The sequence below is a fragment of the Homo sapiens genome, chromosome 21 (genome assembly GCF_000001405.40).
Source record: "Homo sapiens chromosome 21, GRCh38.p14 Primary Assembly".
Lineage (NCBI taxonomy): Eukaryota > Metazoa > Chordata > Mammalia > Primates > Hominidae > Homo > Homo sapiens.
Genome location: NC_000021.9, coordinates 44,573,075 through 44,597,768, shown reverse-complemented (window position 1 = coordinate 44,597,768; position 24,694 = coordinate 44,573,075). Strand labels below are relative to the sequence as shown.

Here is a 24,694-nt window from a genome sequence, read left to right as displayed (position 1 = left end):
GCTTACAAGATACAGAGCCTGAATACAAGAGCATAGAGGCCATGTGCTGTGGCTCGCACCTGTAATCCCAGCACTGTGGGAGGCTGGGGCAGGCAGATCACCTGAGGTCAGGAGTTTGAGACCAGCCTGGCCAACGTGGTAAAGCCCTGTCTCTACTAAAAATACAAAATTAGCCGGGCATGGTGGTGGGCACCTGTAATCTCAGCTACTTGGGAGGCTGAGGCAGGAGAATCGCTTGAACCCAGGAGGTGGAAGTTGCAGTGAGCCGAGATCGCACCACTGCCCTCCAGCCTGGGCGACAAGAGTGAGACTCCATCAAAAAAAAAAAAAAGAAAAGAAAGAAAGAAAAAGAAAAAGAGCACAGAAAGCTTGAAAGTAACAAGATGGAAGAAAATACACCACACAAACACTAACTAAAATGCTAGTGTGACTTATGAATATCAGAAAAAGTAGATTTTAGAGCAATAGAGATGAAGAAAGAAATGTATAAAGCTAAAAGAGTCAACCTACCAGGAAGATGTAACAATTCTAAATCTGCATGTATCTAATTACATAGCTTAAAATATAAAATTAAAAAATTAAAATAAAAAACTGTTTTTTAATTTTTTTAACTGGCAGAGCTAAAAGTAGAAATAGAGAAAAGGGAAAATCATAGTGGGGGATGTTAATACACCTGTCAATAATGATAGGAAGGGAAAGAAAAATCATCTCAGAGTGGAAAGGGCTATTCTAAGTTTTGAGTAAAACACCGAAGCCATTTAAAAAACCGATAAAACTAATTATGTAAAAATTTTTAAATTGCAGGAGAGAAAACATTATAAACCAAGTCAAAAGACAACAATATGGGAAACACATTTCCTATCTGTATATCAGAGAAAGGGCTAATTTGCTTAATATCCAAAGAGCTCCCACGAGTTATTAAGATCAATAACAGAAACATAACAGAAAGTGAGCAAAGGATACAGAGACAATTGAAAGAAATATACATGGTTCTTAAATGAGAAAACGTGCTCAGCCCCATTTAAAATGAGATAAAACAAATTTAATGGCCATATGATATCATTTTTTATATTGGAAAAAATGAAAACCATTGATGTTCCCAACATGGGTTGGCGAGGGTGTGGGCAGACTACCCAGATGACTTGCTGCTGGGCTGAGGTTGCTCCACGGCTTTGGCAGGCAGTTTGCTGCTACACATCACAATTCAAAACCTCATGCCTTTAAGCCTGAATCACTAAGCAAGCATCCTGTAGATACTCCTGGGTGGATACAAGGTATGTGCAAAGGTATCACAGCCATGACATTGTCCAGACAGCGGGAGACAGACTCTAGGGTGGCCCCATGTCCCTCACCTCCTAGTGGTCACTGGCTGTGTGCCCCACACTCCTTGAGTGTGGTTGGGACTGTGACACGTGTATAGACACAAGGAGCCACAGAGAGGGTGATGGGATGTGCATGATCCCATTACATAAGGTCATAATGCTCGTCTCGGGAGGACTCTGTCTCCCTGGCTAGCTGTGAAAAAGCCAGCACATTGCGAGCTGCCCGTTGAGGCCGCATGGAAAGAGATGATGGCAGCCTCCAGTTGACAGCTGGTGACAAACTGAGGCACTTAGTCCAAGAAGCTACAAGGAACTGAGTTCTGCCAACAATCACATGAGCTTGGAAGTGGATCCTTCTCCAATTGAACCTTCCCATGAGACACTCCAATACAGCCCTACAGAGACCCCAATTTAACTGTGCCTGGACTCCTGACCCACAGAAACCGAGATGATAAATGTGTGTTATTTGAAGCCACTAAGCTTGTGGTACTTTGTTCCACAGCAATAGAAAATGAACACACAGACCACATGGAATTCTATGCAGCTGTAAACAAGACAGAGATCATTATGTATTCACAGGAAAGGAGCTCCATGTTTACAGAAACATAGTGGGTAGAGTATGACATAATTTGCATTTTAAAAATTTATGTGTACAGAGGCATTATATGTATGTATGTGTATGTGCATATATGTTTACACATACACATAATAGAATGAGGTGATGTTTTGCTTTCCTGTCTCAGCTCGCATATGGTAAACAGGTGTCCTTGTTATGTTCTCCTCAGTGCCGCACGTTCCTCCACGATGCTCTGATCTTGTTGTTTAAAGTGCCCCAGTGCAGTGCTGCTGTGCTGCTGGGTGTCCGGAGCTCAGAAGGCTCCAGCACGTCTTACAGAGAAAACACATGTGTTCAACCAACTTCATTCAGGCTCTGTAGGGCTGTTGGCTGGGGCTCAGTGTTGATAAATCAACTATATAGATTCAGTAAGGTGTCTTCAGACAGAAGCATTCGTAAGACATGTCTATGCATTGATTAGGTGATGGGAATGTTGTGATCAGAGGCTCATGAGACCATAACCCTGTGCTTCCTGTAGGAGCAGTGGTTCAGTATTTGGTTATTCGGTGCTGGTGGAGACTGTATAGAACAGAGCCTCTGGGAATAATGAGAATGGGCTGTGTGTGTGCATATACGGAAGAGGCAGACAGACAGAGACAGAGAGAGATGGAGAGATACAGAGAGAAAGAGAATAAATGGGTGAAAGTAGCTGCTTCCTGAGAAGAGAATTGGGTGACTGCTTGTGTTCATTTAAAAAAATCACCATCTGGCCAGGTGCAATGGCTCAGGCCTGTAATCCTAGCATGTTTGGGAGGCCAAGGTAGGTGGATCACTTGAGGTCAAGAGTTTGAGACCAGCCTGGTCAACATGGTGAAACCCTGTCTCTACTAAAAATACAAAAATTAGCCAGGCATGGTGGCTTATGCCTGTAATCCCAGCTACTCGGGAGGCTGAGGCAGGAGAATTGCTTGAACCAGGAGGTGGAGGCTGCGGTGAGCTGAGATCGTACCACTGCACTCCAGCCTGGGCAACAGAGTGAGACTGCATCTCAAAAAAAAAAAAAAAAAATCACAGATCCGTAAGTTTGGAAAAAAAGAGGAGACTTTGTTTCTTCTAAAGGGGCACAGCCTGCAAGAAAGCCATCCTGCAGGCCGGGAAGCACAGCCTCTGGCCAAGACGAGAGCCAGGAGGAGGGGCTGGGGCAGGAGCTCCACGCTGACCAGGTTGGCTGAATACACATGTGCAATAGGTTATGGAGGAATAGTGAATATTCACGAAGGAGGAACTGAACAAACATGCATGTAACATACGACCTGTTTTCACTCTGCGGTTGTGAGAAACACACTGACCCGTCCAAATCCAAAGAATGGACTTAGAGGCATGAAGAACAGTGAAAGTGAGACTTTAATGTCGGTCTTGCAAGATCTGGTGTCTGATGGGCGGGCACACCCAGCACACTTTCAACAAGCAATTTATCCCCTAGTGTGCAGGTCCCTCGCCCAGTTCCTCGCAGCCTGAGTACTATGGGGTCACAGGCTTCCTGGACGTCACCTAAGTTTCATTATCCCCTTATAAGGTTACATCTTGTCCCCTTCCCCACTTTACATTTGATTTCTCAATGGCAAAAGTTTCTTTCCTTTTATGTGTTAGCCATCCGTCACTTTTTCTTCCTCCCCTCTGACTTCTGTGAGTCTTATCACTCTTCCCAGATGTCTGTACTGTGTGGCTTGTCACATCTGCAAGGGAGCTGCCTGGACTTGCCAGGGCCTGTTTTCTGAATACGGACCACTTGAAATGTACTTCTTACAGGGTGGAGTCTTATCATGTCAATGGGTCGCAATGAGGCCCTAAACCTCAGAAGTCTTCTCAGGACACAAAGGCACTCCAGTGCACAGCCTCTGTAAACCGGCTGGAGCCAGTCCATGGTTGGGGGTCCCTTATCAGGAGGAGGTTCCTGAAGTCAGTCTCCTGCCCAGTCAGAGCTGTGGTCATGGCTGTGGAACGTGGTCAGTTGGCATCTGCTGGTGGATGAGCTGCAGTCGTTTGAACCTTGCTCATCCTCATCGCGGGGCCAGTGCGTGTTTAGCCACTGTAGAAAAACAGCAGCTGTGGCGTGAGAGCAGAGTCCGTCCTCTCAGTGTAGGGCACGCGGCTTGTCCCTTGCCTGGCGCGGCCTGAGGTCCTGTTTGTAATTTGATATCTTATTGCCAGAGTCTGCTCTGTGGGTCTTACGGTCTCTATTTTAACTTTAGTGCTGGGTAGTGGTTGTGTCGAAACCCTAAAGGGAGGGGGTGTAACGAGGCGTGTCTGACCTCCCTTCCTGTCATGGCCAGGAACGCAGTTTTTCGGGGGTCCCCGTGGGCAAGATGGGATCCATTTAGTCAGTTGAGGGGCTTAGGATTTTATGTTTCGTTTACACTGGCAATGGGTTTGCAGTGAGATCAACTTCTCATGGACCCATTTTGTGTCTTCTGTGCGGGTTCTTTGGACAGATGTCCCTTAATTTTAAGGTGGTGACACTAAGAGGCCTGGCACAGGGCTTGGAAGACAGGGCTGGGAAATGGGCCCAGCAGGAGGCTGGGTGGGGGCTGACGGGCAGCCTCGGAGAAGCAGAGCACACAGAGGAGCCACCCCAGGCGGGGACGAGGGCTGCTGACCGCCCGCTGCTCAGCACGGTTACTCTGCAGGTTCAGAACCCAAAACCACAGCCCAGAAGGCTGTCATGCTGTCCAAGCAGGGAGGGGCCAAGCCCACCGTCCTTGCCCTGGAACACACAGGTCCTGCTGCCTCCAAAACACAAAGACGAGGTGGACACGAAACAGGGCCGGAGGTGAAGAGGCTGTGGGGATGAGAAGTCGTCCAGAGCTCAAAGCCAAGAGGTCTGGGCACAGTTACAGCTGCCCCCCACCCCCACCATGCCATGGCCCAGGGCAGGTCAATGAAGGCTCATGGGCCCCAGGTTGTCCCTCAGAAGATGGCCACAGTCCTGTGTCCGGTGATGGGGGAAGGACCACGCTGGATGAGGGGTTTTCACCACAAGGACACTTCCTGAGGCCGGCTTCCTGCAGAGGGACTCTGTGTCCCGGGGCTGCTGGGGCCAGGGGTGGACGATGCCGCGACCTGTGGCTCTCCCAGCTCCCCGAACCCAGCTGGGACCAGGCCCCGCCCAATTCCTGCCGCCAGGGATCCACATGGGATGGGACACAGCCCAGATGTGATGGGAGATTTATGAGCTGGCCCACATCACGGGCGAACAAACACCCCTAATCCCGGCAGACTCCAGCTCTCGGCAACACGGAAGGGGAAGCTGTGGGCCCGGGGACAACAAGGCCAGGTGGAATAAAAGCCCGAGAGCCTCAGCACCTCACAGGCTCACTCCCTCACCCTCCACCAGTTCAACCCCAGCATGGCCGCGTCCACCATGTCCGTCTGCTCCAGCGACCTGAGCTACGGCAGCCGCGTCTGCCTTCCTGGTTCCTGTGACTCTTGCTCCGACTCCTGGCAGGTGGACGACTGCCCAGAGAGCTGCTGTGAGCCCCCCTGCTGCGCCCCGGCCCCCTGCCTGAGCCTGGTCTGCACCCCAGTGAGCCGTGTGTCCAGCCCCTGCTGCCCAGTGACCTGTGAGCCCAGCCCCTGCCAATCAGGCTGCACCAGCTCCTGCACGCCCTCGTGCTGCCAGCAGTCTAGCTGCCAGCTGGCTTGCTGTGCCTCCTCCCCCTGCCAGCAGGCCTGCTGCGTGCCCGTCTGCTGCAAGACTGTCTGCTGCAAGCCTGTGTGCTGTGTGTCCGTCTGCTGTGGGGATTCTTCATGCTGCCAGCAGTCTAGCTGCCAGTCAGCTTGCTGCACCTCCTCCCCCTGCCAGCAGGCCTGCTGTGTGCCCGTCTGCTGCAAGCCTGTCTGCTCTGGGATTTCCTCTTCGTGCTGCCAGCAGTCTAGCTGTGTGAGCTGTGTGTCCAGCCCCTGCTGCCAGGCGGTCTGTGAGCCCAGCCCCTGCCAATCAGGCTGCACCAGCTCCTGCACACCCTCATGCTGCCAGCAGTCTAGCTGCCAGCCAACTTGCTGCACCTCCTCCCCCTGCCAGCAGGCCTGCTGCGTGCCCGTCTGCTGCGTGCCTGTGTGCTGTGTGCCCACCTGCTCTGAGGATTCCTCTTCATGCTGCCAGCAGTCTAGCTGCCAGCCAGCTTGCTGCACCTCCTCCCCCTGCCAGCACGCCTGCTGTGTGCCCGTCTGCTCTGGGGCTTCCACATCATGCTGCCAGCAGTCTAGCTGCCAGCCGGCTTGCTGCACCGCCTCCTGCTGCAGATCCTCCTCCTCCGTGTCCCTCCTCTGCCACCCTGTGTGCAAGTCCACCTGCTGCGTGCCCGTCCCCTCCTGTGGTGCCTCTGCCTCCTCCTGCCAGCCCAGCTGCTGCCGCACGGCCTCCTGTGTTTCCCTCCTCTGCCGCCCCATGTGCTCCCGCCCTGCCTGCTACAGCCTCTGCTCTGGCCAGAAGTCCAGCTGCTGACAGCCCTGGATGTGATCCGGAGTCCCTTCCCACCAGGGGCTGACCTCCCAGCTGCCCCAGCAAGCTCTGCCCTCTCTGGCTTTGACACCCTCAGAAGATGGGGCAGGCTCTTTGTCTTAGGGACCAGGATGCTCCCCCTGTCCTTCCCAGATGCTGGCTGCATGAGAGACCCCAGCTACTCCCCCAGACCCAAGTTCTGCAGAACTAACCCCCAGCAGGCCTGGTTCCACCCTGGGCAGCACCCCCTCTAGTTCTAATAAAGCCGCCTCTGTCTCACACCAACCTCTGTCCTGTCTGTGGACCCCCGGGGGGCACAGGGTGAGGTGGGAAGTGATGCCACCCCTGACTGCAGGGAGAGTCCTGACCCCCAGCAGGCCTGGCTCCACCCCTCTGTCTCTGTCGACTTTTCATCCTGTCTGTGGACCCCCGAGGGGCATGGGATGAGGCAGGAAGCAATGCCTTCTGGTGCTGGCCTCTGTGAACCCTGAAGGCCAGTCTCCCTCTTAGCCCCGTGGGCCCCCAACCCCAGCACATGGCCCCCCGGCCCATCTTAGGAAAGCTGCCTCTGGAACCAAGGCCAGGAGTTTCGGGACAAAGTGGACCCTGGCAGCACTCTGGGCCCCTGAGCCACATTCACCCTCCCCAGCTCATGGCTGCCCCCCAGGACTGGGGTAGCCCACCCGGGGCCTAGCTCCAGCCAGCAGCCTCACCCCTCCTGTTACCCCTGGGGAGACCAGCTATGGACCACAGTGCCCATCCCTGCAGCCCTCATCTCCTCCACAGTAAGACATGGGGACCACGCCCTCCCCCAGGACTCGAGCCCAGCAGCCCAGTATTCGTGGGGTTCTGGAATACCCATTGCTCAGGCATCGCTGGCGAGAACACAGATGGGCAGGGACCATGGCACCCACTAACCAAGCCTGCGGGCCCCCCTGCCCCATGCGGCCTCGCCTAGACTTTCAGGGTCCTGGCTCCCTCCTGGTCCTGTGGTCCTGGACTCTGACCCCGAGGACCCTGTCCCCACACCCCCAGCCTCCTAGGTCTCTCCAAATAGCCCTCAGCTCTGTCTGCCACCCTCCGCTCTGGCACTCAGACGTGGTCCACGATACCGCGTTGGGCGAGTGGTACGAGCCGCTGCACTCTTTCTGCCAGGTCGCTGTGTGCATTTGAGAGCCCAGGTCTGCCTCCTGCCCCAGCAAATGACCCTTGCATGTCAACGCCAGAGGCGACCAGCACCAGCAGGAGGACCTCCCGGAGTCCCACCCCATGGAGCTCCCTGTGGTCAGCACAGCCGCCTCGCTCACTCCCCTCCAGGCAGACCCAGGACAGCCAGCAGCAGCCGTCCCCAGGGCCGGAGGCCAAACTGACACAGCCTTGTCCACCTCCTTGGAAGCAAAGCCACGTCCCCATGAAGGGACAAATGAGAGCCTCCAGGGGCAGAGATGTTTTCTTCCTGCCCTGGTTCTCCGGGTAGCTGGCAGGGGCCGAGCCTTCATCCTAGGGCTCCAGGACCATCCTGGGGAGGGGCTCCCCACACATGCGTGTCTGAGCCCCACCCACCTCACTATGCCCACTGATGGCTACAAGGTCAGAACAGAGAGCCAGGTGGAGGGGCCGGGGCTGGCTCTCTGACCTCCTCCATGTTTGTCATTGTCCCCACCTGCCCTCGTCCGAGGCACCGACAGGACCCAGCCTGTCTGGCCATCCCCAGGGAGGACATCTCCTGGTGGGGGGGTCTCACCTCTGACCCCTGCTCTGGGTCCTCATTCGATGTGTCTTCTGCTTCATCAGAGCTTCAACTCCTAGTGAAAGCACCTTGGAAAACCGTCCCTCAAAATGGTCACTCACAAAGTGACCCTGTGATCCTGCCACTCCAGTTCTAGGCATCTACCTCAGAGGAATGAAACAAATGTCCACACACAGATTTGTGCGCCCATGTACACAGCATGACTGACAGCAGCCAGAGACTGGTGTACCCATGTACACAGCATGACTGACAACAGCCAAGAAGTGGAAGAAGCCTAAATGTCCATCAGAGGACAAAGCAAAACACAGCCCATCCACACAAGCAAAATGTGGCCCATTCCCGTGGGGAATATTATTCAGCCATGAAAAGGAATCCAATACTGACACAGGCTACAACATGCATGAGCCTTGAAAGCATGATGCTTAGTGAGAGCCCACATGTGGTGACATTCTATTTTGGTTTTTTATTTTTTATTTTTATTTTATATTTTATTTAGGTTATTGGGGAATAGGTGGTGTTTGGTTACATGGATTAGTAATTTAGTGTTGATTTGTGAGATTTTGGTGCACCCATCATTCGAGCAGTATACACTGCACCCTATTTGTAGTTTTTTATCCATCACCCCCTTCCCGCCCTTTCCCTCTCAGTCCCCAAAGTCCATTGTGTCATTCTTATGCCTTTGTATCCTCATAGCTTAGCTTCCACTTATGAGTGAGAACATATGATGTTTGGTTTTCCATTCCTGAGTTACTTCACTTAGAATAATAATCTCCAATCTCATCCAGGTCTCTGTGAATGCCATTAATTCATTTCTTTTTATTACTGAGTAGTATTCCATCATATATATATATACACACACACATACATATATATACACACATACATATATATAACATATATATACATATATACACACACATATATATCAGTTTATATATATAAATATATAAATAAATATATATATATTATATATATAAAAGTTTCTTTATCCACTCGTTGATTGATGGGAATTTGGGTTGGTTCCACATTTTTGCAATTGCGAATTGTGCTGCTATAAACATGCGTGAGCAAGTATCTTTTTTGTATAATGACGTCTTTTCCTCCGGGTAGATACCCAGTAGTGGATTTGCTGGATCAAATGGTGGATCTACTTTTAGTTCTTTAAGGAATCTCCACACTGTATTCCACAGTGGTTGTACTAGTTTACATTCCCACCAGGAGTGTAGAAGTCTTCCCTGTTCACCACATCTGTGCCAGCATCTATTATTTTTTGATTTTTTGATGATGGCCATTCTTGCAGGAGTGAGGTGGTATCCCATTGTGGTTTTGATTTGCATTTCCTTCATCATTAGTGATGTTAAGCATTTTTTCCTATGTTTGTTGGCCATTTGTATATCTTCTTTTGAGAATTGTCCATTCATGTCCTTAGCCCACTTTTTGATGGGATTGTTTGGTTTTTTTCTTTATAATTTGTTTGAGTTTGTTGTAGGTTCTGGATATTAGTCCTTTGTCAGATGTACAGATTGTGAAGATTTTCTCCCACTGTGTGGGTTGTCTGTTTACTCTGCTGACTGTTTCTTTTGCCATGCAAAAGCTCTTTAGTTTAATTAAGTCCCAGCTATTTATCTCTGTTTTTATTGCATTTGCTTTTGGATTCTTGGTCATGAAATCCTTGCCTAAGCCAATATCTAGAAGGGATTTTTCATGTTATTTTCTAGAATTCTAATAGTTTCAGGTCTTAGATTTAAGTCCTTGATCCATCTTGAGTTGATTTTTATATAAGGTGAGAGATGAGGATCCAGTTTCATTCTCCTATATGTGGCTTGCCAATTATCCCAGAACCATTTGTTGAATAGAGTGTCCTTTCCCCACTTTATGTTTTTGTTTGCTTTGTCAAAGATCAGTCGGCGGTAAGTATTTGGGTTTATTTCTGGGTTCTCTATTCTGTTCCATTGGTCTATGTGCCTATTTTTATACCAATGCTGTTTTGGTGACTGTGGCCTTATAGTATAGTTTGAAATCAGGTAATGTGATGCCTCCGGATTTGTTCTTTTTGCTTAGTCTTGCTTTGGCTATGCGGGCCCTTTTTTGGTTCCATATGAATTATAGAATTTTTTTTGTAACTCTGTGATGAATGATGGTGGTATTTTGATGGGAATTGCATTGAATTGCTTTTGGCACTATGGTCATTTTCACAACATTGATTCTACCCATCCATGAACATGGGATGTGTTTCCATTTGTTTGTGTTGTCTGTGATTTATTTTAGCAGTGCTTTGTAGTTTTCCTTGTAGAGGTCTTTCACCTCCTTGGGTAGGTATATTCCTGAGTATTTTATTTTTTTGCAGCTATTGTAAAAGGGATTGAGTTCTTGATTTGATTCTCAGCTTAGTCGCTGTTGGTGTATAGGAGAGCTACTGATTTGTGTACATTAATTTTGCATCTGGAAACTTTGCTGAATTCTTTTATCAGTTCTAGGAGCTTTTTGTAGGAATCTTTGGGGTTTTCTAGGTGTACGATCATATCATCAGCAAACAGCGACAGTTTGACTTCCTCTGTACCGATTTGGATGCCTTTTATTTCTTTCTCTTGTCTGATTGCTCTGGCTAGGACTTCCAGTACTATGTTGAAGAGAAGTGGTGAGAATGGGCATCCCTACATTTTTGCAGTTCTCAGAGGGAGTGCTTTCAACTTCTCCCCATTCAGTGTTATGTTGGCTGTGGGTTTGTCATAGATGGCTTTTATTACATTGAGGTATGTCCCTTGTATGTTGATTTTGCTGAGAGTTTTAATCATAGAGATGCTGGATTTTGTCGAAAGCTTTTTCTGCATCTATTGATCATGTGATTTTTGTTTTTAATTCTGTTTATGTGGTGTTGAATTGTGAATGTTAAACCATCCCTGCATCCCTGGTACGAAACCTGGTGGGATTCTATTTGTATGAAAGGCTCAGAATGGGCAAATCTACAGAGAAAGAAAGTAGATGAGTAGGTGCCTGAGGCTGGGGGAGGGGCACATGGGGAGTGGTGCTGATTGGTGTGATTTTTTTGGAGGGAGGAATGCTGTAAAATTATATATTGGTGATGGCTGAGAAACACTGGGAATACGCTAAAAACAAATGGATTATGTCCTTGCAGCAGGTGAGCTTCATGGCTTGTGAATTTTCTCTTGGTAAATTTTTTTTAAAAGCCTAAGCCCTCTGTTTGGGCTGGCTACTCCCCAATGCCTCCACCTCCCCTTCATCCAAATAAAAATGAGTGGTACCAGAACAGTGATAGAAAACAGGCATGCCATCTGCAGACCAGGTCAGTAAGGATTTTCTGCGACAGACAAGACAAAAAGATCGGGTTTTCTTGACTGTAAAATTCAACAGAAAGAAAGGCAGAAGCAGGACTGAAGACAAATGGCTTTTCCCAGAGACCCTGACACAGGGACAGCACATGAGGACAGCCATGGGCACTCAGGCGTCTTTAACTGAGGGTTGAGTTCTAAAGAAGAACCGCCTGGTGCCCTGAGTCCAGCAGGAGAGCCAGGCAGGCCAGGGGTGGCCCAGGAGGCTCCCAGCCTGGGTCCTAGGATGGAGAGGAAGAGACCACACCCCAGGAAGTTCTGGATGCCAAAATGAACCAAAGCCCCTGTACTCAGCCAGCGGCAGACAAGGCCCCACCCTGAGAGCCCCAGTGTCAGCTCTGTGAGAAGAAGACATGTGTCTACATGCAGAGAACCTTTCAGCAATGAAAGCCAAACAGTTTAGACCCTCACTTAAAAACGTGAACAACAACTAAGGGTCCTCAGACGCATGAGGAAATCACAGCATGACAGAGAAGCAAAGTCTAAACAAACAATAATGCATGAAACAAAGAGGCCGTTACTCCATGAAACAAGAAGAGAGTGCTACCAAAAAGGAGAAGGAGAAGAAAGGAAAACACCTTGGATTCCTGGAGACTGAAATCGTGACACTCCAAACATATGGAATTCAATGGCAGTCCTCATAACAGACCCTGAGGCAGAAGAGCTGACACCATGACCCCCAGTTCAGAAAATGACCGAAACCCAATGCAGAAGGACAAAGAGATGAAGCCAAGAAAAGCCTGAGGTCTAAGGGAGATGAACCCAGGAGACTCAGGGTCTGTGATTCTGGGATCACAGTGGGGAGAGAAGCCAAGAATGAAAGAAAATCATCAAACCCATATGGGAATAAAAGTTCCTTGAACTAAAAGAAGATGGGACCGAGGGGATGAACACAGCTGATGACAGTGACTAGGGAGGGGTCTGGTGAAATGAATGAAGTACAAGGAGAGAATAGTGCCAGGTTCTGGAAAGAGGAAAAGCTTCACAAGAAGATTAAAGTTATGCAAATCTGAGACACACTGGTGGCCCAACCTCTACTAAGGTGGAGGGAAGAAATTCTGCACCTAGACTCTGCTGTGGCAGGTGTCAGCAGGAGGGCTGTTCTTAAACAACAGGGATCCAGAAAGTTTACCACCCATGACGCTTTCTGAAACTTTTACTCAACAATCTCTAACAAGAAGGAGCACGACCCCCTCTTTTCAAATGTCCACAAAAATCCGCAGATGCTCATCAAGGAAAATCTAAAGAAAATAAAAATACAGTCTAATAAAAATAAGCAGACATTAAAGATTGAAAAAGAAACATGCCCACAGATTGAGAGATTTTTGTTTTTATGTAAAAGAAAGTAGCATGGGTATGTTTATCCTAAAATTTGAAAATATAAATGAATGGACTGTGTTCTAAAAAATATAAATTACCAACACTGAATAACAAAATGAAACTTTTAATACAATGATGTCCAGGAAAATATGGAAATGGTATTGAAAGATATTCTTCAGAAGGCAGACTCAGATGTTTTAAAGGTGTATATCATCAGCCTTCAATATAAGACCTTCCTGTGATACTTGAAATATTCCAGAGCTCAGAAGAAGACAGAGATCTTCTGGATTCCTCTAATATAAGACTGGTGAGACCCTGATGCCAAAACCAGGAATAATTGTGTGTGAGAGAGAGAGAGAGGGAGAGAGGACTGTAAATCAATCCCATTTAAAAAGATAAAGCAAGAGATTCTATGTGCCTATGTTAAAGAAAAACTAAGCTGTTACATGCAGCCATTATGGAAGACAGTGTCAAAGCTCCTCAGCAAATTAAAAATAGAACTACCATGTGATGAGCAATCTTGTATATACAAGACAAATTAAAGCCAGATCTCAAAGAGATACCTGCACTGCCATGCTAACTGCAGCACTAGTCACAACAGCCAAGATATGGAAGCAACATAAGTGCCCATCAGCAGATGAGTGGATAAAGAAAATGTGGTGTATACACACGATGGAATACGATTCAGCCATAGAAAGGAGGGAGATCCTGTCATTAGTGGCAACATGGATGAACCTGCACACACTATGCTAGGTGAAGTGACCCAGGCCACAGAAAGACAAATACTGCAGACCTCGCTTATATGTGGAATCTAAAAAAGCCAAGCTCGGCAAAGCAGAGAGTAGAGTGGGGGTTCACAGGGGCGGGGGTGCAGGGAGTTTTCATTTTTTATAACTCTTTAAATATCCTTTCAGCGATTATTAATACAGGTGTGCAAGAACTGTGTGCTTTATCCACTTTGATGTTGATGACAGGATACAGCTTCAGCTGTGCAGGATGAGTCAGTTCTGGAAACCTCATGTGCAGCACGGGGACAGTTGACTGTAACACAGAATGTGACGCAGTAACACTGAAATTTGCTAAGAGAGTCCACCTTAAATGTCTCATCACAAAATAAAGGTAACTGCATGGGTGATGGACATATTAATTAGCTTGACCGTGGTAATCATCACACAATGTGTACATGTATCAAGACATCCTGAATTTATATAATTCTTATTTGTCAATTACATCTCAATAAAGCTGGGGAAAAAGGGATAATGAGCCATTATCAAGTAATGTATATCTTAGATCACTCAAGTTACAAAGGGTATCATTAACTATACTCATAAAATAGAAGTAGAAAAGCCACTGGAACACTCAGTAGATTAATACACACACATTCACACACACACATACATGAACAAACTCACTCCTTCTTTAAAAGCCTGAGGCAAAATTCTTGGTAAACTAGAGTGAAAAAACACTGCATGCACGAGACCAAGGCTTTGCGACAAACCAGCCAACACCGGCTTAGTGCGGAGCTGCAGGAGGTGCTTCTGTTAACTTTGGAAACAAGACCAGAGGGCTGCTGTCATCGCGTCTCCAGAGTTGTGCTGGGCAGCCAGCCACGATGAAAGGGAGTCAAATAAAACAAAAGACTACATTTTGGAAAAGAAGAATCCAAACGTGTGTCACTTGCAGAAGACACGGCCGTGGGCCACCCTGCCCTCCAGACTCACATCCCCTCCCAGCACCTCCCTCCCCCAGCCAGGGCTGTTTAATCCCTGCAGCTCAGCTCACTCAGATCCCCAGAGTGTCTGCTTGATTTAAGAAATGATGTGATCTGGCCGGGTGCAGTGGCTCACATCTGTAATGCCTGCACTTTTGGGAGACTGAAACGGATGGATCACTTGAGGCCATAAGTTCGAGACCAGCCTGGCCAAAATGTCCAAACCCCATCTCTACTAAAAATACAAAAAAAAAAAGAAAGAAAGAAAAATAGCTGGATGTGGTGGTGCACACCTGTAATCCCAGCTACTCGGGAGGCTGAGGGAGGAGAATCGCTTGAACCCGGGAGGTGGGGCCTGCAGCACCACTGCACTCCAGCCTGGGTGACAGAGTGAGACTGTGTGTCAAAAAAGAAAAGAAAGAAAGAAGGAAGAAAAGAAAGAAAGAGAAAGAAAGAGAGAAAGAAAGAAATTGGTGTGATCATTCAATTGTCCGTGGAAACTGCCATGGTGGCCCCCAGTGAAAATTTCCATGATCCAAAAAGACACGTCTCCACTGAGCGCAGGGCGTGGACTTAGATCAGGCACACTGAGACCCTGGAGCTGTTGTGGGCACAGCAATGACTGTGGAAAGACACTTTGGACAGTGATGGGTGGTCCAGACACCAGGAGAAGGGAGCGACAGAGGGCGTGGATCACAAATAGGAATAAAGAGACAAGGAATCACCACACCCATTCGATTAAGGAGGCTGCCAGAGATAGCGATGGGAAAACTAAAGCAAATTATCATACAGGCCCCAGGGCTTGTCCCAGAAGCCATGTCAGCCTTACCACATCCCGCTGGCTCAGGACCACCTGCCTCCCTGCCTGCCACTCAGGAAGCACGCACTCTTCTGGGAGCTGTGTGACAGAACGGAGCCATGTATGGCCGTGAGGGAAAGGAGTGAGAGCTCGCGGTTGTCAGGTTCACTGCCGGCCAGCTGTCCTCTTTCAAGGTTACTTATCTTCTCTCATCATTTCTGCAACTGTCAAAATGGGCTGCAGAGTCACCCCTCACGCGGTGGCTGATGTGGAGACCGCACCTGCGCCGTGCATGTCTGTAGCACACCCGCTGATATGACGTCATCCTAGCCTTCCTGGCTTTCCTGTCATTTCCTGAAAGGAGCATCGAGTCCTTCAGTCCCAGAAAGTGGGTTAAGCACACAGTTCTCGCACAACCTCTACTAATAATCACTGAAAGGATATTCAAAGAGTTATAAAAAATAAAATCAAAATTGTCTAACAAAAAGGGAGGCTCTTTAAAATCCTTTATATATTTGTAGAAAAGAGAAACAGATGGAAACAAATTAGAATGTAAACTGGATCAGGACCCCAATGCCCTGGAATAAAATAGTCTTTTACTCAGAAAATCAAATGAACTGCCACCAATGAGCAGAGCTTAACTGATGTCCAGTGAAACGAGGGGAAAAACGTTTAAATGCTCAACATAACATCATTACAGTGAGCCAAAAATGTATTTCATTCATCGTGAGACAAAATTAAAGTCACAAAAGGAAAGACCTTGAGAGATGAGTTATTTTTAAGAGCGCAAAACACTTCCTGAGTCTCCACATTGAAAGGCTCAATGAATTCTAACCACAGAAAGTAAAATAATGCACACGCATAGAAACAAAAGAAGAATAAAAAGAAAACCAAATGTTCCCAGAGAGTTAAACGGAGAGAGAGAGACAAACTATAAAAAATGACAAATGACCAACCTCAGTCTCTCATCAGCAACGCTGGACACTACAGAAAAATGGTGACACAGGTTCATCATTTTGAGAAAACAGATTTTTTGTTATTATTTATAATAATAATTCTGACTTAAAACCAGAATTATATACCCAGCTAAACTATCATATAAGTGTGAGGGTAAAGTTGAGTACATTTTTAGGCAAGAAAGAAATCTTAAAATGTATGTCCTAAAATCACCATATGTGAAAAAGTACTTGATCTGTCACCATGAGGAAATAAAAATGGAGAAAACCCAGAGCGCAGCTTCAAATAAAACAGAGAGAGGGCTCTGAGGGTGGCATGGAAGAGCTGAAGAGACAAGGATAAAGCACAGATCCACCAGATACCAAATCTCTGAGCATTCCCCTTACGAGGCACAAGGGGTTGAAGAGAGGGCCACTTAGCTTCATCGTACCCTCTGTGCCAGCTGCATTTTATAAGAAATGCATATTTTTCTACCTATTTATATTTTAATATGCTAAAAGTAATAAAATATATCCAATCAGTCCAAACACAGGATAGGTGAAACTAGAATTCCTCCCTTTAGAGAAGTCTTCATCTCTAAAACCTCTACTCAACAAAAGTTTGCTTGAAATATTTTCCACCACATTTCTGGGGCTAAAATAAGAACCGATGAAGAAACACGGCCCTGCAACATACACACAAGTTTAATGAGGGAAAAACAAACAGATAAACCAGCATGAATGACGCATCTCCAGCCACCAGCTCTAAACACCAACAAGGAAGAGAAGCTTGTGGAGCCTCCTGTCGGGACAACACACGCCAGGGAGGGATTTAAAAGCCCCACAGCCCTGAGCACCTCACTCACTCACTCCCTCCTTCACTCACTCACACACTCACTCACTCACACCTCCCCCAGCTCCCAGCTCACGTCTTCCCCACCCCAGCATGGCCGCGTGCACCATGTCCGTCTGCTCCAGCGCTTGCTCTGACTCCTGGCGAGTGGACGACTGCCCAGAGAGCTGCTGTGAGCCCCCCTGCGGCACCGCCCCCTGCCTGACCCTGGTCTGCACCCCAGTGAGCTGTGTGTCCAGCCCCTGCTGCCAGGCGGCCTGTGAGCCCAGCCCCTGCCAATCAGGCTGCACCAGCTCCTGCACGCCCTCGTGCTGCCAGCCGGCTTGCTGCGCCTCCTCCCCCTGCCAGCAGGCCTGCTGCGTGCCCGTCTGCTGCAAGCCTGTGTGCTGCCTGCCCACCTGCTCTAAGGATTCCTCTTCATGCTGCCAGCAGTCTAGCTGCCAGCCAACTTGCTGTGCCTCTTCCTCCTGCCAGCAGTCCTGCTGTGTGCCTGTCTGCTGCAAGCCCGTGTGCTGTGTGCCCACCTGTTCTGAGGATTCCTCTTCATGCTGCCAGCATTCTAGCTGCCAGCCGACTTGCTGCACCTCCTCCCCCTGCCAGCAGTCCTGCTACGTGCCTGTCTGTTGCAAGCCTGTCTGCTGCAAACCCATCTGCTGTGTGCCCGTCTGCTCTGGGGCTTCCACTTCATGCTGCCAGCAGTCTAGCTGTCAGCCGGCTTGCTGCACCACCTCCTGCTGCAGACCCTCCTCCTCCGTGTCCCTCCTCTGCCGCCCCATATGCAGGCCCGCCTGCTGCCTGCCCATCTCCTCCTGCTGTGCCCCTGCCTCCTCCTACCAGGCCAGCTGCTGCCGCCCGGCCTCCTGCGTGTCCCTCCTCTGCCGCCCCGCGTGCTCCCCCCTGGCCTGCTGAGGCCTCTGCTCAGGCCAGGAGTCCAGTTGCTGATGTGCACATCCCCCAGGGCCAACTGGTCCTGACTCGGGTTAGGAGGTTGCCCCCGCTTGGGACGGGGCCCCCATGTGCTGAGGTGACCCCCCCCTCCATACTCCCAGGAATCTCCATCCTCGAAGCTCCCCAGCTCCTGCCTCCCAGCAGGGGCCCACCTGCCTGTTGGGTCCCCTGTCCTCCCTCCCAGCTTCTCTGCCCCATGTCACTTGGCCTCGACTTGAACCTGTCAGCACCTCCTCCTGCTCCCCAATAAACTCCCCTTGGTCGCCTGATTCTCTTTTTCTGTAGTGCTCCTGGGGATACATGGTTTTGAGCTCAGATTGGTCTCTAGCCATGACTGTTTCTATGAATGAGTGACTTAACCTAGAAGTCACGGGGGACAGTGGCCTAACTCCTCCAGGGGGTCACCAGGTGGAACTCACAGCCACGCCCAGGAAGGCTCAGTCCCGGCTCAGCCTCCATGCCTGGGTCTTCCTGAGCCTGGTCATTGGCTGCCGTGCCCTGGGCTGTGGGGCTCTCCAGGCCCCAGGACTGTCCCACCCACTGTCCCACCTGGGAGAGCCCACCCTGCAGGGTCACCTTCCAGGAAGCTGGCCTGGGGTCCGGGCACCGCAGCCTCCAGGCCTGGTCACCCTCCCTGTGTGCCGCCCGCCCGAGAGTTCTGCCCGCTTAGCAGCAATGCGGGGGGAGAGGGAGGGGCTGCTGCACCTGCGCAGGAGACAAGGGACTCGATCAGGACGAAAGCATCATGGAGTGGGTGGATGGATGCACATGATTCCCCAAAACTGGCACTGCCCCAGGCCCTCCTCTGGGGGCACCAGGTTCCGCATGGGCTTTCAGGACCCAGAGTCCGCACCTGCAGGACCGTGCGTCAGGCCCCTCTTAGGTGAGGTTGACATGGGCGACACTGGAGGGCACAGGTGGACAAGGCCCTGCTGAGACCTGGGGGATTTTCTGGGGGGATGGCCTTCCAGGGGCTGCGGTGGTGGCTGGAACTGTTTTAGTAAGTAGGCAACTGTCCCCAGTGGGTAAATTTTCAGTTACCCTCCCTGCAAGGCCATCTCAGGGTCAAGGCGTGGGTGTTCCTCCATGAGTCCCCCTCTCATCCCAGGAGTCTGTGTCCATGGCCAGAGCCCACCAAGGGCATCCCTGCCACCCGTGAGGCCTCAGCCTCCGTCCCCTAATCCCTAGCACCCTCGCCGACACTGTGTCTACCCCACGGTTTTCTGGAAAAGTTTGGGTTAGATTGGCATTATTTCTCCCCTAAATGCTTGGTAGAATTCAATGGCAAAGCCATTCGGGATTGGCATTGTCTCTGTGGGAAGGGTTTTAATTATGAGTCCAGTCTCTTCAATTGATAGAGGGCTATTCCGATTTTCTATTTCTTCTTGTATCCCTTTTCATAAATGATGCATTTCCAGTCATTTGCCTATTTCATCTAAGCTGTTGAATGTATTGACATAGAGTTGTTTGCATTATTTGTTTGGTTTCCTTTAAATATCTACAGATTCTGTAGTGGCAACCTTTTATTCATTCCTGATGTATTAGTTCATTTTCATGGTGCTAATAAAGACATACCCAAGACTGGGCAATTTACAAAAGAAAGAGGTTTAATGGACTCACAGTTCCACATGGCTGAGGAGGCCTCACAATCATGGTGGAAGGTGAAAGGCACAATTCACTTGGTGGCAGACAAGAGAAGAGAGCTTGTGCAGGGAAACTCCCCTGTATAAAACCATCAGATCTTGTGAGACTTACTTACTATCATGAGAACAGCACAGGAAAGACCCACTCCCATGATTCAATTACCTCCCACCAGGTGCCTCCCACAACATGTGAGAATTCAAGATGAGATTTGGGTGGGGACACAGCCAAACCATAACATCCGATATTGGTAATTTATTTGTTCTCTTGTTTTATAATGACCAGTAAAGTTAGAAATTTGCCAATTTCATTTGTCTTTAAAAAAACTAGGTTTGGTTTTATTTATTTCCCTGTTTGTCCACTTTCTATTTGGTAGGTGATATGGTGGATATGTGTCCCCTCCAAATCTCATGGTGAACCATGATCCCGTGTTGGAGGCAGGGCCTGGTGGGAGGTGATTGGGTCATGGGGACGGTTCCCTCATGAGTGGCTTGGTGCCACCCCCACAATAATGAGTGAAGTCTTGCTCTGTTACTTCATGGACAGCTGGTTGTTTACAAGAGCCTGGCACTCCCTCCTCTCTGTCTCTCTTGCTCCCCTCATACCATGTGATGCCTGCTCCCCGTCCACCTTCCACCATGAGTAAAGCTTCCTGAGACCTCAGCAGAAGCTCAGCAGGTGCCATTCTTGTACAGCCTGTAGAACCAGGAGCCAGATAACCGTGGGCCTTTCCTCATAAATTGCCCAGTCTCGGGTATTCCTTTACAGCAGTGCAAAATGGACAAACACAGTGGAGTTTTTAAATTCTTGATTATTTTATTATTTCTAGTTATTTTTGGGTTCAACATATGCTTCTTTAGCTTCTTAAGCTGGAAGCTCGGACAACTGATTTTAGGCCTTCTTCTCTAATAAAACAAATTACTATGCATTTTCCTCTACATGCTTTGTTAGCTGCATCCCACAAGTATTGATATGGGGTGATTTCATTTTCATTTTATTCCAGATATTTCATAATTTCCATTGTGATTTATATTTTTACTCATAGATCTTAAAGTGTGTTATTTAATTTCCAAGTATGTGGCAGTTTTCTAAGTGTCTTTCTGTTAATGATTTCCAATTCTGTGTGGCCAAGCAGCATGCTCAGCCCTCCTGTGATTTCATCCCTCCTGAGGACACTGAGACTTGCTCTCAGGCCTCTCCGGTGGTTTATGTTGGTGGATGTTCCACGTGCACTTTAAACAACATGCATCCCATTGTTGTTGGATGGGATTTTGTATAAATATCCCTTAAGTCGGCTTGGTTTTTAGTGGTTTCTCAACTTTTCTATACACCTCCTGGAAAATGACTTTCTGAAGACAGAGTGAGGTTTGGTAAAGACACAAAGGACCTCAACCAGCAGTGTTCTCAGCTCACGTGAAGGGAAACAGCACTGTAGTTTAATGAAGACTCTTCCACAGAGTCCCCTTCTCTGGAGTTATTTTTAACTCTCTGCTTCCATGGGTTGCAATCAACACATTGAGTTGTGTTGCTGAAAACCATGGGCATGTTCACCCATGAGGTTTGCCCCCTCACCCACCCTGGGACATCCATGTGTCTGTTCACCCATGAGGTTTGCCCCCTCACCCACCCTGGGACGTCCGTGTGTCTGTTCACCCATGAGGTTTGCCCCCTCACCCACCCTGGGACGTCCGTGTGTCTGTTCACCCATGAGGTTTGCCCCCTCACCCACCCTGGGACGTCCGTGTGTCTGTTCACCCATGAGTTATGCCCCCTCACCCACCCTGGGACATCCGTGTGTCTGTTCACCCATGAGTTATGCACTCCCTTCCACTCCGGGACTGTGACTCCGTGTGGCCAGTGCTCTGGGTCTGTCCTCACAACTCCACCTCCACTGCGGCTGAGTTCCCGGGCCACCCTCTGACACCTGTGCATGGAAATTCTTTCTGATCTTATCGTCATTGCTTTATGAGTATGTTTTATAACCATTGGAATAGTTGGCACTTCTTCCAGTGGTTACAACACATCATTATTCCAAATATAATTTTTAAAGACTTCTTAAAATGCCCAAAACTCCTCAGACCATCCTGCTCTGGGCAGTCCGCTGGCCCTGGGCTCATGGTGGTCACACGTGCTCTGTCTGTCGTTCTTGCCACTCCATTTGGAAACCTGAAAGAGGGAGTCCTACTTCCCTGACCTTAGAGAGGCCGGAGGGTCGAGGAGATGATTCTGCTCACACAGGGTGGAAGCGAAGCGACAGAGACCCAATTCCAATCGCCTGTCTGTGTTCCTCCCACCATGCCAGTGATGTCTGCACAGGGCACAAGAGGTTTTAGGCAATGTCGATGAAGACTACTGATTTTGAAGCTAGGGAGGCATTTGGACACACTCTGGGCAAGCATGGCGCTAGAAGACACCATTCTTATTTGACAAGTATTGTGCAGCAGAAGGATAATTTAAAAAGCAAATCAGCAAAAAGAACTATGACACGACTAACAACACAGGAGGGTTAGGGACAAACCCAAGGGCCCGAAATGGCCAAAGGGCTGCAAGGCTCCCCGCGTCCATGTCCGTCTAGCCTGGACCCCTGGGAACCACACGCCCCTGGGCACAGGAAAACACTCAGGGGCCTGAAGGACAGCAGAGGGTTGTGCACAAAGGAGAAAACCATGGCCGTGAGCTCCAGCCAAGGCATTAATCAACACACCTGGGTGTCAGCGCCATTGCAGTCTCAGGGCCTTTATTGGTCAGCTTGAGGGCGTCCAAAGAAGGCTCTGCGGCTCTGAGCCAGGAGGACAGAGACCTCACGGGTCAAGGCTGAACTGACCCTCATGAGAGGTGGGAGATATGGAGGGGAGGCCACTGCCATGGGAACTTTCTAGAAGCGCCCCCCTCCCCCCGCAAGAGGGCTGCAGCATTGAGTATAGACTTTCAGTTCTTCCATTGTCCAGCTCAACAGCAGACACCAGGAAATGGTCAAAGTGCAGGAGCAATTCAGGACGCGACTATCAGCTTTCAGGTGGGACCTGAGCCTGGCTGGCACTGGGGGGCGTGTCCATCAGCAGCTGGGCTTCTGACCTGAGCGGAGGCCTCAGCAGGCTGGGCGGGAGCACACGGGGCGTCAGAGGAGGGACACGCAGGAGGCTGGGCGGCAGCAGCTGGGTTGGCAGGAGGAGGTGGGAGCACAGCAGGAAGGGACGGGCACGCAGCAGGCGGGCCTGCACACGGGGCGGCAGAGGAGGGACACGGAGGAGGAGGGTCTGCAGCAGGAGGTGGTGCAGCAAGCTGGCTGGCAGCTAGATTGCTGGCAGCATGAAGAGGAAGCCCCAGAGCAAACAGGCACACAGCTCACAGGCTTGCAGCAGACGGGCACGCAGCAGCCCTGCTGGCTTTGGGAGGAGGTGCAGCAAGCTGGCTGGCAGCTAGACTGCTGGCAGCACAGAGAGGAAGCCCCAGAGCAGATGGGCACAGAGCAGACAGGCTTGCAGCACACAGGCTTGCAGCAGACAGGCACACAGCAAGCCTGCTGGCAGGGAGAGGAGGTGCAGCAAGCCGGCTGGCAGCTAGACTGCTGGCAGCATGAAGAGGAATCCTCAGAGCACACAGGCTTGCAGCAGACAGTCTTGCAGCAGACGGGCACGCAGCAGGCCTGCTGGCAGGAGGAGGAGGTGCAGCAAGCCGGCTGGCAGCTAGACTGCTGGCAGCACGAGGGCGTGCAGGAGCTGATGCAGCCTGATTGGCAGGGGCTGGGCTCACAGACCGCCTGGCAGCAGGGGCTGGACACACAGCTCACACAGCTAGACTGCTGGCAGCACGAAGAGGAAATCCCAGAGCAGACAGGCTTGCAGCAGATGGGCACACAGCAGGCCTGCTGGCAGGGGGAGGAGGTGCAGCAAGCTGACTGGCAGCTAGACTGCTGGCAGCATGAAGAATCCCCACAGCAGACGGGCACACAGCACACAGGCTTGCAGCAGACAGTCTTGCAGCAGACGGGCACGCAGCAGGCCTGCTGGCAGGGGGAGGAGGCACAGCAAGCCAGCTGGCAGCTAGACTGCTGGCAGCACGAGGGCGTGCAGGAGCTGGTGCAGCCTGATTGGCAGGGGCTGGGCTCACAGGTCACTGGGCAGCAGGGGCTGGACACACGGCTCACTGGGGTGCAGACCAGGCTCAGGCAGGGGGCCGGGGCGCAGCAGCTGGGGGCGCAGCAGGGGGGCTCGCAGCAGCTCTCTGGGCAGTCGTCCACCTGCCAGGAGTCGGAGCAAGAGTCACAGGAACCAGGAAGGCAGACGCGGCTGCTGTAGCTCAGGTCGCTGGAGCAGACGGACATGGTGGATGCTGCTGTGCTGGGGGTTGAGCTGGGGGAGATGGGAGGGAGTGGGTGAGCGAGTGAGTGAGGTGCTCGGGTTTGTGGGGCTTTTATACTCCTCCTTGGTGCATGTTGTCCAGACAGGAGGCTCAGCAAGCCCTCCCTTCCTTGTTGGGGTGTACAGCCAGCTCCAGGAGAATAAACAGTAGCTGTGTTTTTGTTTCCCAAGAGCTGTTGCTCAGTTTACAAAACTTGGAATTGGCCTGGGGCGCATGTGCGTGTTTTAGACTCAGGAGGAAGAGCTGAGGGGCAGTTCAGGCTGTGCTGCTTTGCTCCCCAGGCGCACGTGGAGGGTGGCATGGTCCACGTGTGTGCCGGGCTATGGGGAGTGGGTGCCTGCGGGTGGCTCTGCCGTGTGTGTGCTGGACTATGAGGAGTGGGTGCCTGTGGGTGGCTCTGCCGTGTGTGTGTGCCAGGCTATGGGGAGTGGGTGCCTACGGGTGGCTCCGCTGGGCCTTGGTTTTCTAGGCTGCTGAACAAGATCATGTGCCTCTGTGATTGAAAGCTTAGGGAGAGAGGTTTGTTTGGGTTCTAAGTAAAGATAATGTGAGTCATGGTTTGTATGCTGTAATGTATTCTTTTCCTTGGGCTGCCATGACAAACAGTACCACAAACTGGCTGGTCACACAACAGAAATTCCGTGTC

The 24,694-nt window shown here is 50.1% G+C and overlaps 4 protein-coding genes across 5 annotated transcripts in view, besides 8 other annotated features; 3 read left to right on the top strand and 1 right to left on the bottom strand.

The window, feature by feature from the left end:
• TSPEAR (thrombospondin type laminin G domain and EAR repeats) overlaps positions 1 to 24,694 on the top strand; it is a 213,680-nt gene that overhangs the window by 113,804 nt on the left and 75,182 nt on the right. The window lies entirely within an intron of this gene.
• Positions 4,177 to 4,923: an enhancer, noted in NCBI's record as "H3K27ac-H3K4me1 hESC enhancer chr21:46012727-46013473 (GRCh37/hg19 assembly coordinates)". NCBI's record gives its function as "activates a minimal SCP1, AML or CMV promoter by ChIP-STARR-seq in primed H9 embryonic stem cells {active_cell/tissue: H9 hESC(primed)}" and the evidence as "EXISTENCE:reporter gene assay evidence [ECO:0000049][PMID:30033119]".
• Positions 4,924 to 5,669: an enhancer, noted in NCBI's record as "H3K27ac-H3K4me1 hESC enhancer chr21:46011981-46012726 (GRCh37/hg19 assembly coordinates)". NCBI's record gives its function as "activates a minimal SCP1, AML or CMV promoter by ChIP-STARR-seq in primed H9 embryonic stem cells {active_cell/tissue: H9 hESC(primed)}" and the evidence as "EXISTENCE:reporter gene assay evidence [ECO:0000049][PMID:30033119]".
• Positions 5,264 to 6,501, top strand: KRTAP10-6 (keratin associated protein 10-6). Its single transcript, NM_198688.3, has one exon. The coding sequence runs from the start codon at positions 5,285 to 5,287 to the stop codon at positions 6,380 to 6,382; it is 1,098 nt and encodes a 365-aa protein (NP_941961.3). The 5' UTR covers positions 5,264 to 5,284; the 3' UTR covers positions 6,383 to 6,501.
• Positions 5,670 to 6,417: an enhancer, noted in NCBI's record as "H3K27ac-H3K4me1 hESC enhancer chr21:46011233-46011980 (GRCh37/hg19 assembly coordinates)". NCBI's record gives its function as "activates a minimal SCP1, AML or CMV promoter by ChIP-STARR-seq in primed H9 embryonic stem cells {active_cell/tissue: H9 hESC(primed)}" and the evidence as "EXISTENCE:reporter gene assay evidence [ECO:0000049][PMID:30033119]".
• Positions 7,390 to 8,210: an enhancer, noted in NCBI's record as "H3K4me1 hESC enhancer chr21:46009439-46010260 (GRCh37/hg19 assembly coordinates)". NCBI's record gives its function as "activates a minimal SCP1, AML or CMV promoter by ChIP-STARR-seq in primed H9 embryonic stem cells {active_cell/tissue: H9 hESC(primed)}" and the evidence as "EXISTENCE:reporter gene assay evidence [ECO:0000049][PMID:30033119]".
• Positions 16,841 to 17,430: an enhancer, noted in NCBI's record as "H3K27ac-H3K4me1 hESC enhancer chr21:46000216-46000805 (GRCh37/hg19 assembly coordinates)". NCBI's record gives its function as "activates a minimal SCP1, AML or CMV promoter by ChIP-STARR-seq in naive H9 embryonic stem cells {active_cell/tissue: H9 hESC(naive)}" and the evidence as "EXISTENCE:reporter gene assay evidence [ECO:0000049][PMID:30033119]".
• On the top strand, positions 17,165 to 18,314 carry KRTAP10-5 (keratin associated protein 10-5). The gene has a single exon (NM_198694.3). It carries the CDS (start codon positions 17,191 to 17,193, stop codon positions 18,004 to 18,006), a length of 816 nt encoding a protein of 271 aa, NP_941967.3. The 5' UTR covers positions 17,165 to 17,190; the 3' UTR covers positions 18,007 to 18,314.
• Positions 17,431 to 18,021: an enhancer, noted in NCBI's record as "H3K27ac-H3K4me1 hESC enhancer chr21:45999625-46000215 (GRCh37/hg19 assembly coordinates)". NCBI's record gives its function as "activates a minimal SCP1, AML or CMV promoter by ChIP-STARR-seq in naive H9 embryonic stem cells {active_cell/tissue: H9 hESC(naive)}" and the evidence as "EXISTENCE:reporter gene assay evidence [ECO:0000049][PMID:30033119]".
• Positions 22,398 to 24,040, bottom strand: KRTAP10-4 (keratin associated protein 10-4). The gene has a single exon (NM_198687.2). It carries the CDS (start codon positions 24,008 to 24,010, stop codon positions 22,805 to 22,807), a length of 1,206 nt encoding a protein of 401 aa, NP_941960.2. The 5' UTR covers positions 24,011 to 24,040; the 3' UTR covers positions 22,398 to 22,804.
• Positions 22,789 to 23,307: an enhancer, noted in NCBI's record as "H3K27ac-H3K4me1 hESC enhancer chr21:45994339-45994857 (GRCh37/hg19 assembly coordinates)". NCBI's record gives its function as "activates a minimal SCP1, AML or CMV promoter by ChIP-STARR-seq in primed H9 embryonic stem cells {active_cell/tissue: H9 hESC(primed)}" and the evidence as "EXISTENCE:reporter gene assay evidence [ECO:0000049][PMID:30033119]".
• Positions 23,308 to 23,825: an enhancer, noted in NCBI's record as "H3K27ac-H3K4me1 hESC enhancer chr21:45993821-45994338 (GRCh37/hg19 assembly coordinates)". NCBI's record gives its function as "activates a minimal SCP1, AML or CMV promoter by ChIP-STARR-seq in naive H9 embryonic stem cells {active_cell/tissue: H9 hESC(naive)}" and the evidence as "EXISTENCE:reporter gene assay evidence [ECO:0000049][PMID:30033119]".

Bases quoted from the DNA above. Each gene is read 5' to 3' on its own strand.
- KRTAP10-6 (NM_198688.3), top strand. From the start codon at position 5,285: ATGGCCGCGTCCACCATGTCCGTCTGCTCCAGCGACCTGAGCTACGGC.
- KRTAP10-4 (NM_198687.2), bottom strand. From the start codon at position 24,010: ATGTCCGTCTGCTCCAGCGACCTGAGCTACAGCAGCCGCGTCTGCCTT.
- KRTAP10-5 (NM_198694.3), top strand. From the start codon at position 17,191: ATGGCCGCGTGCACCATGTCCGTCTGCTCCAGCGCTTGCTCTGACTCC.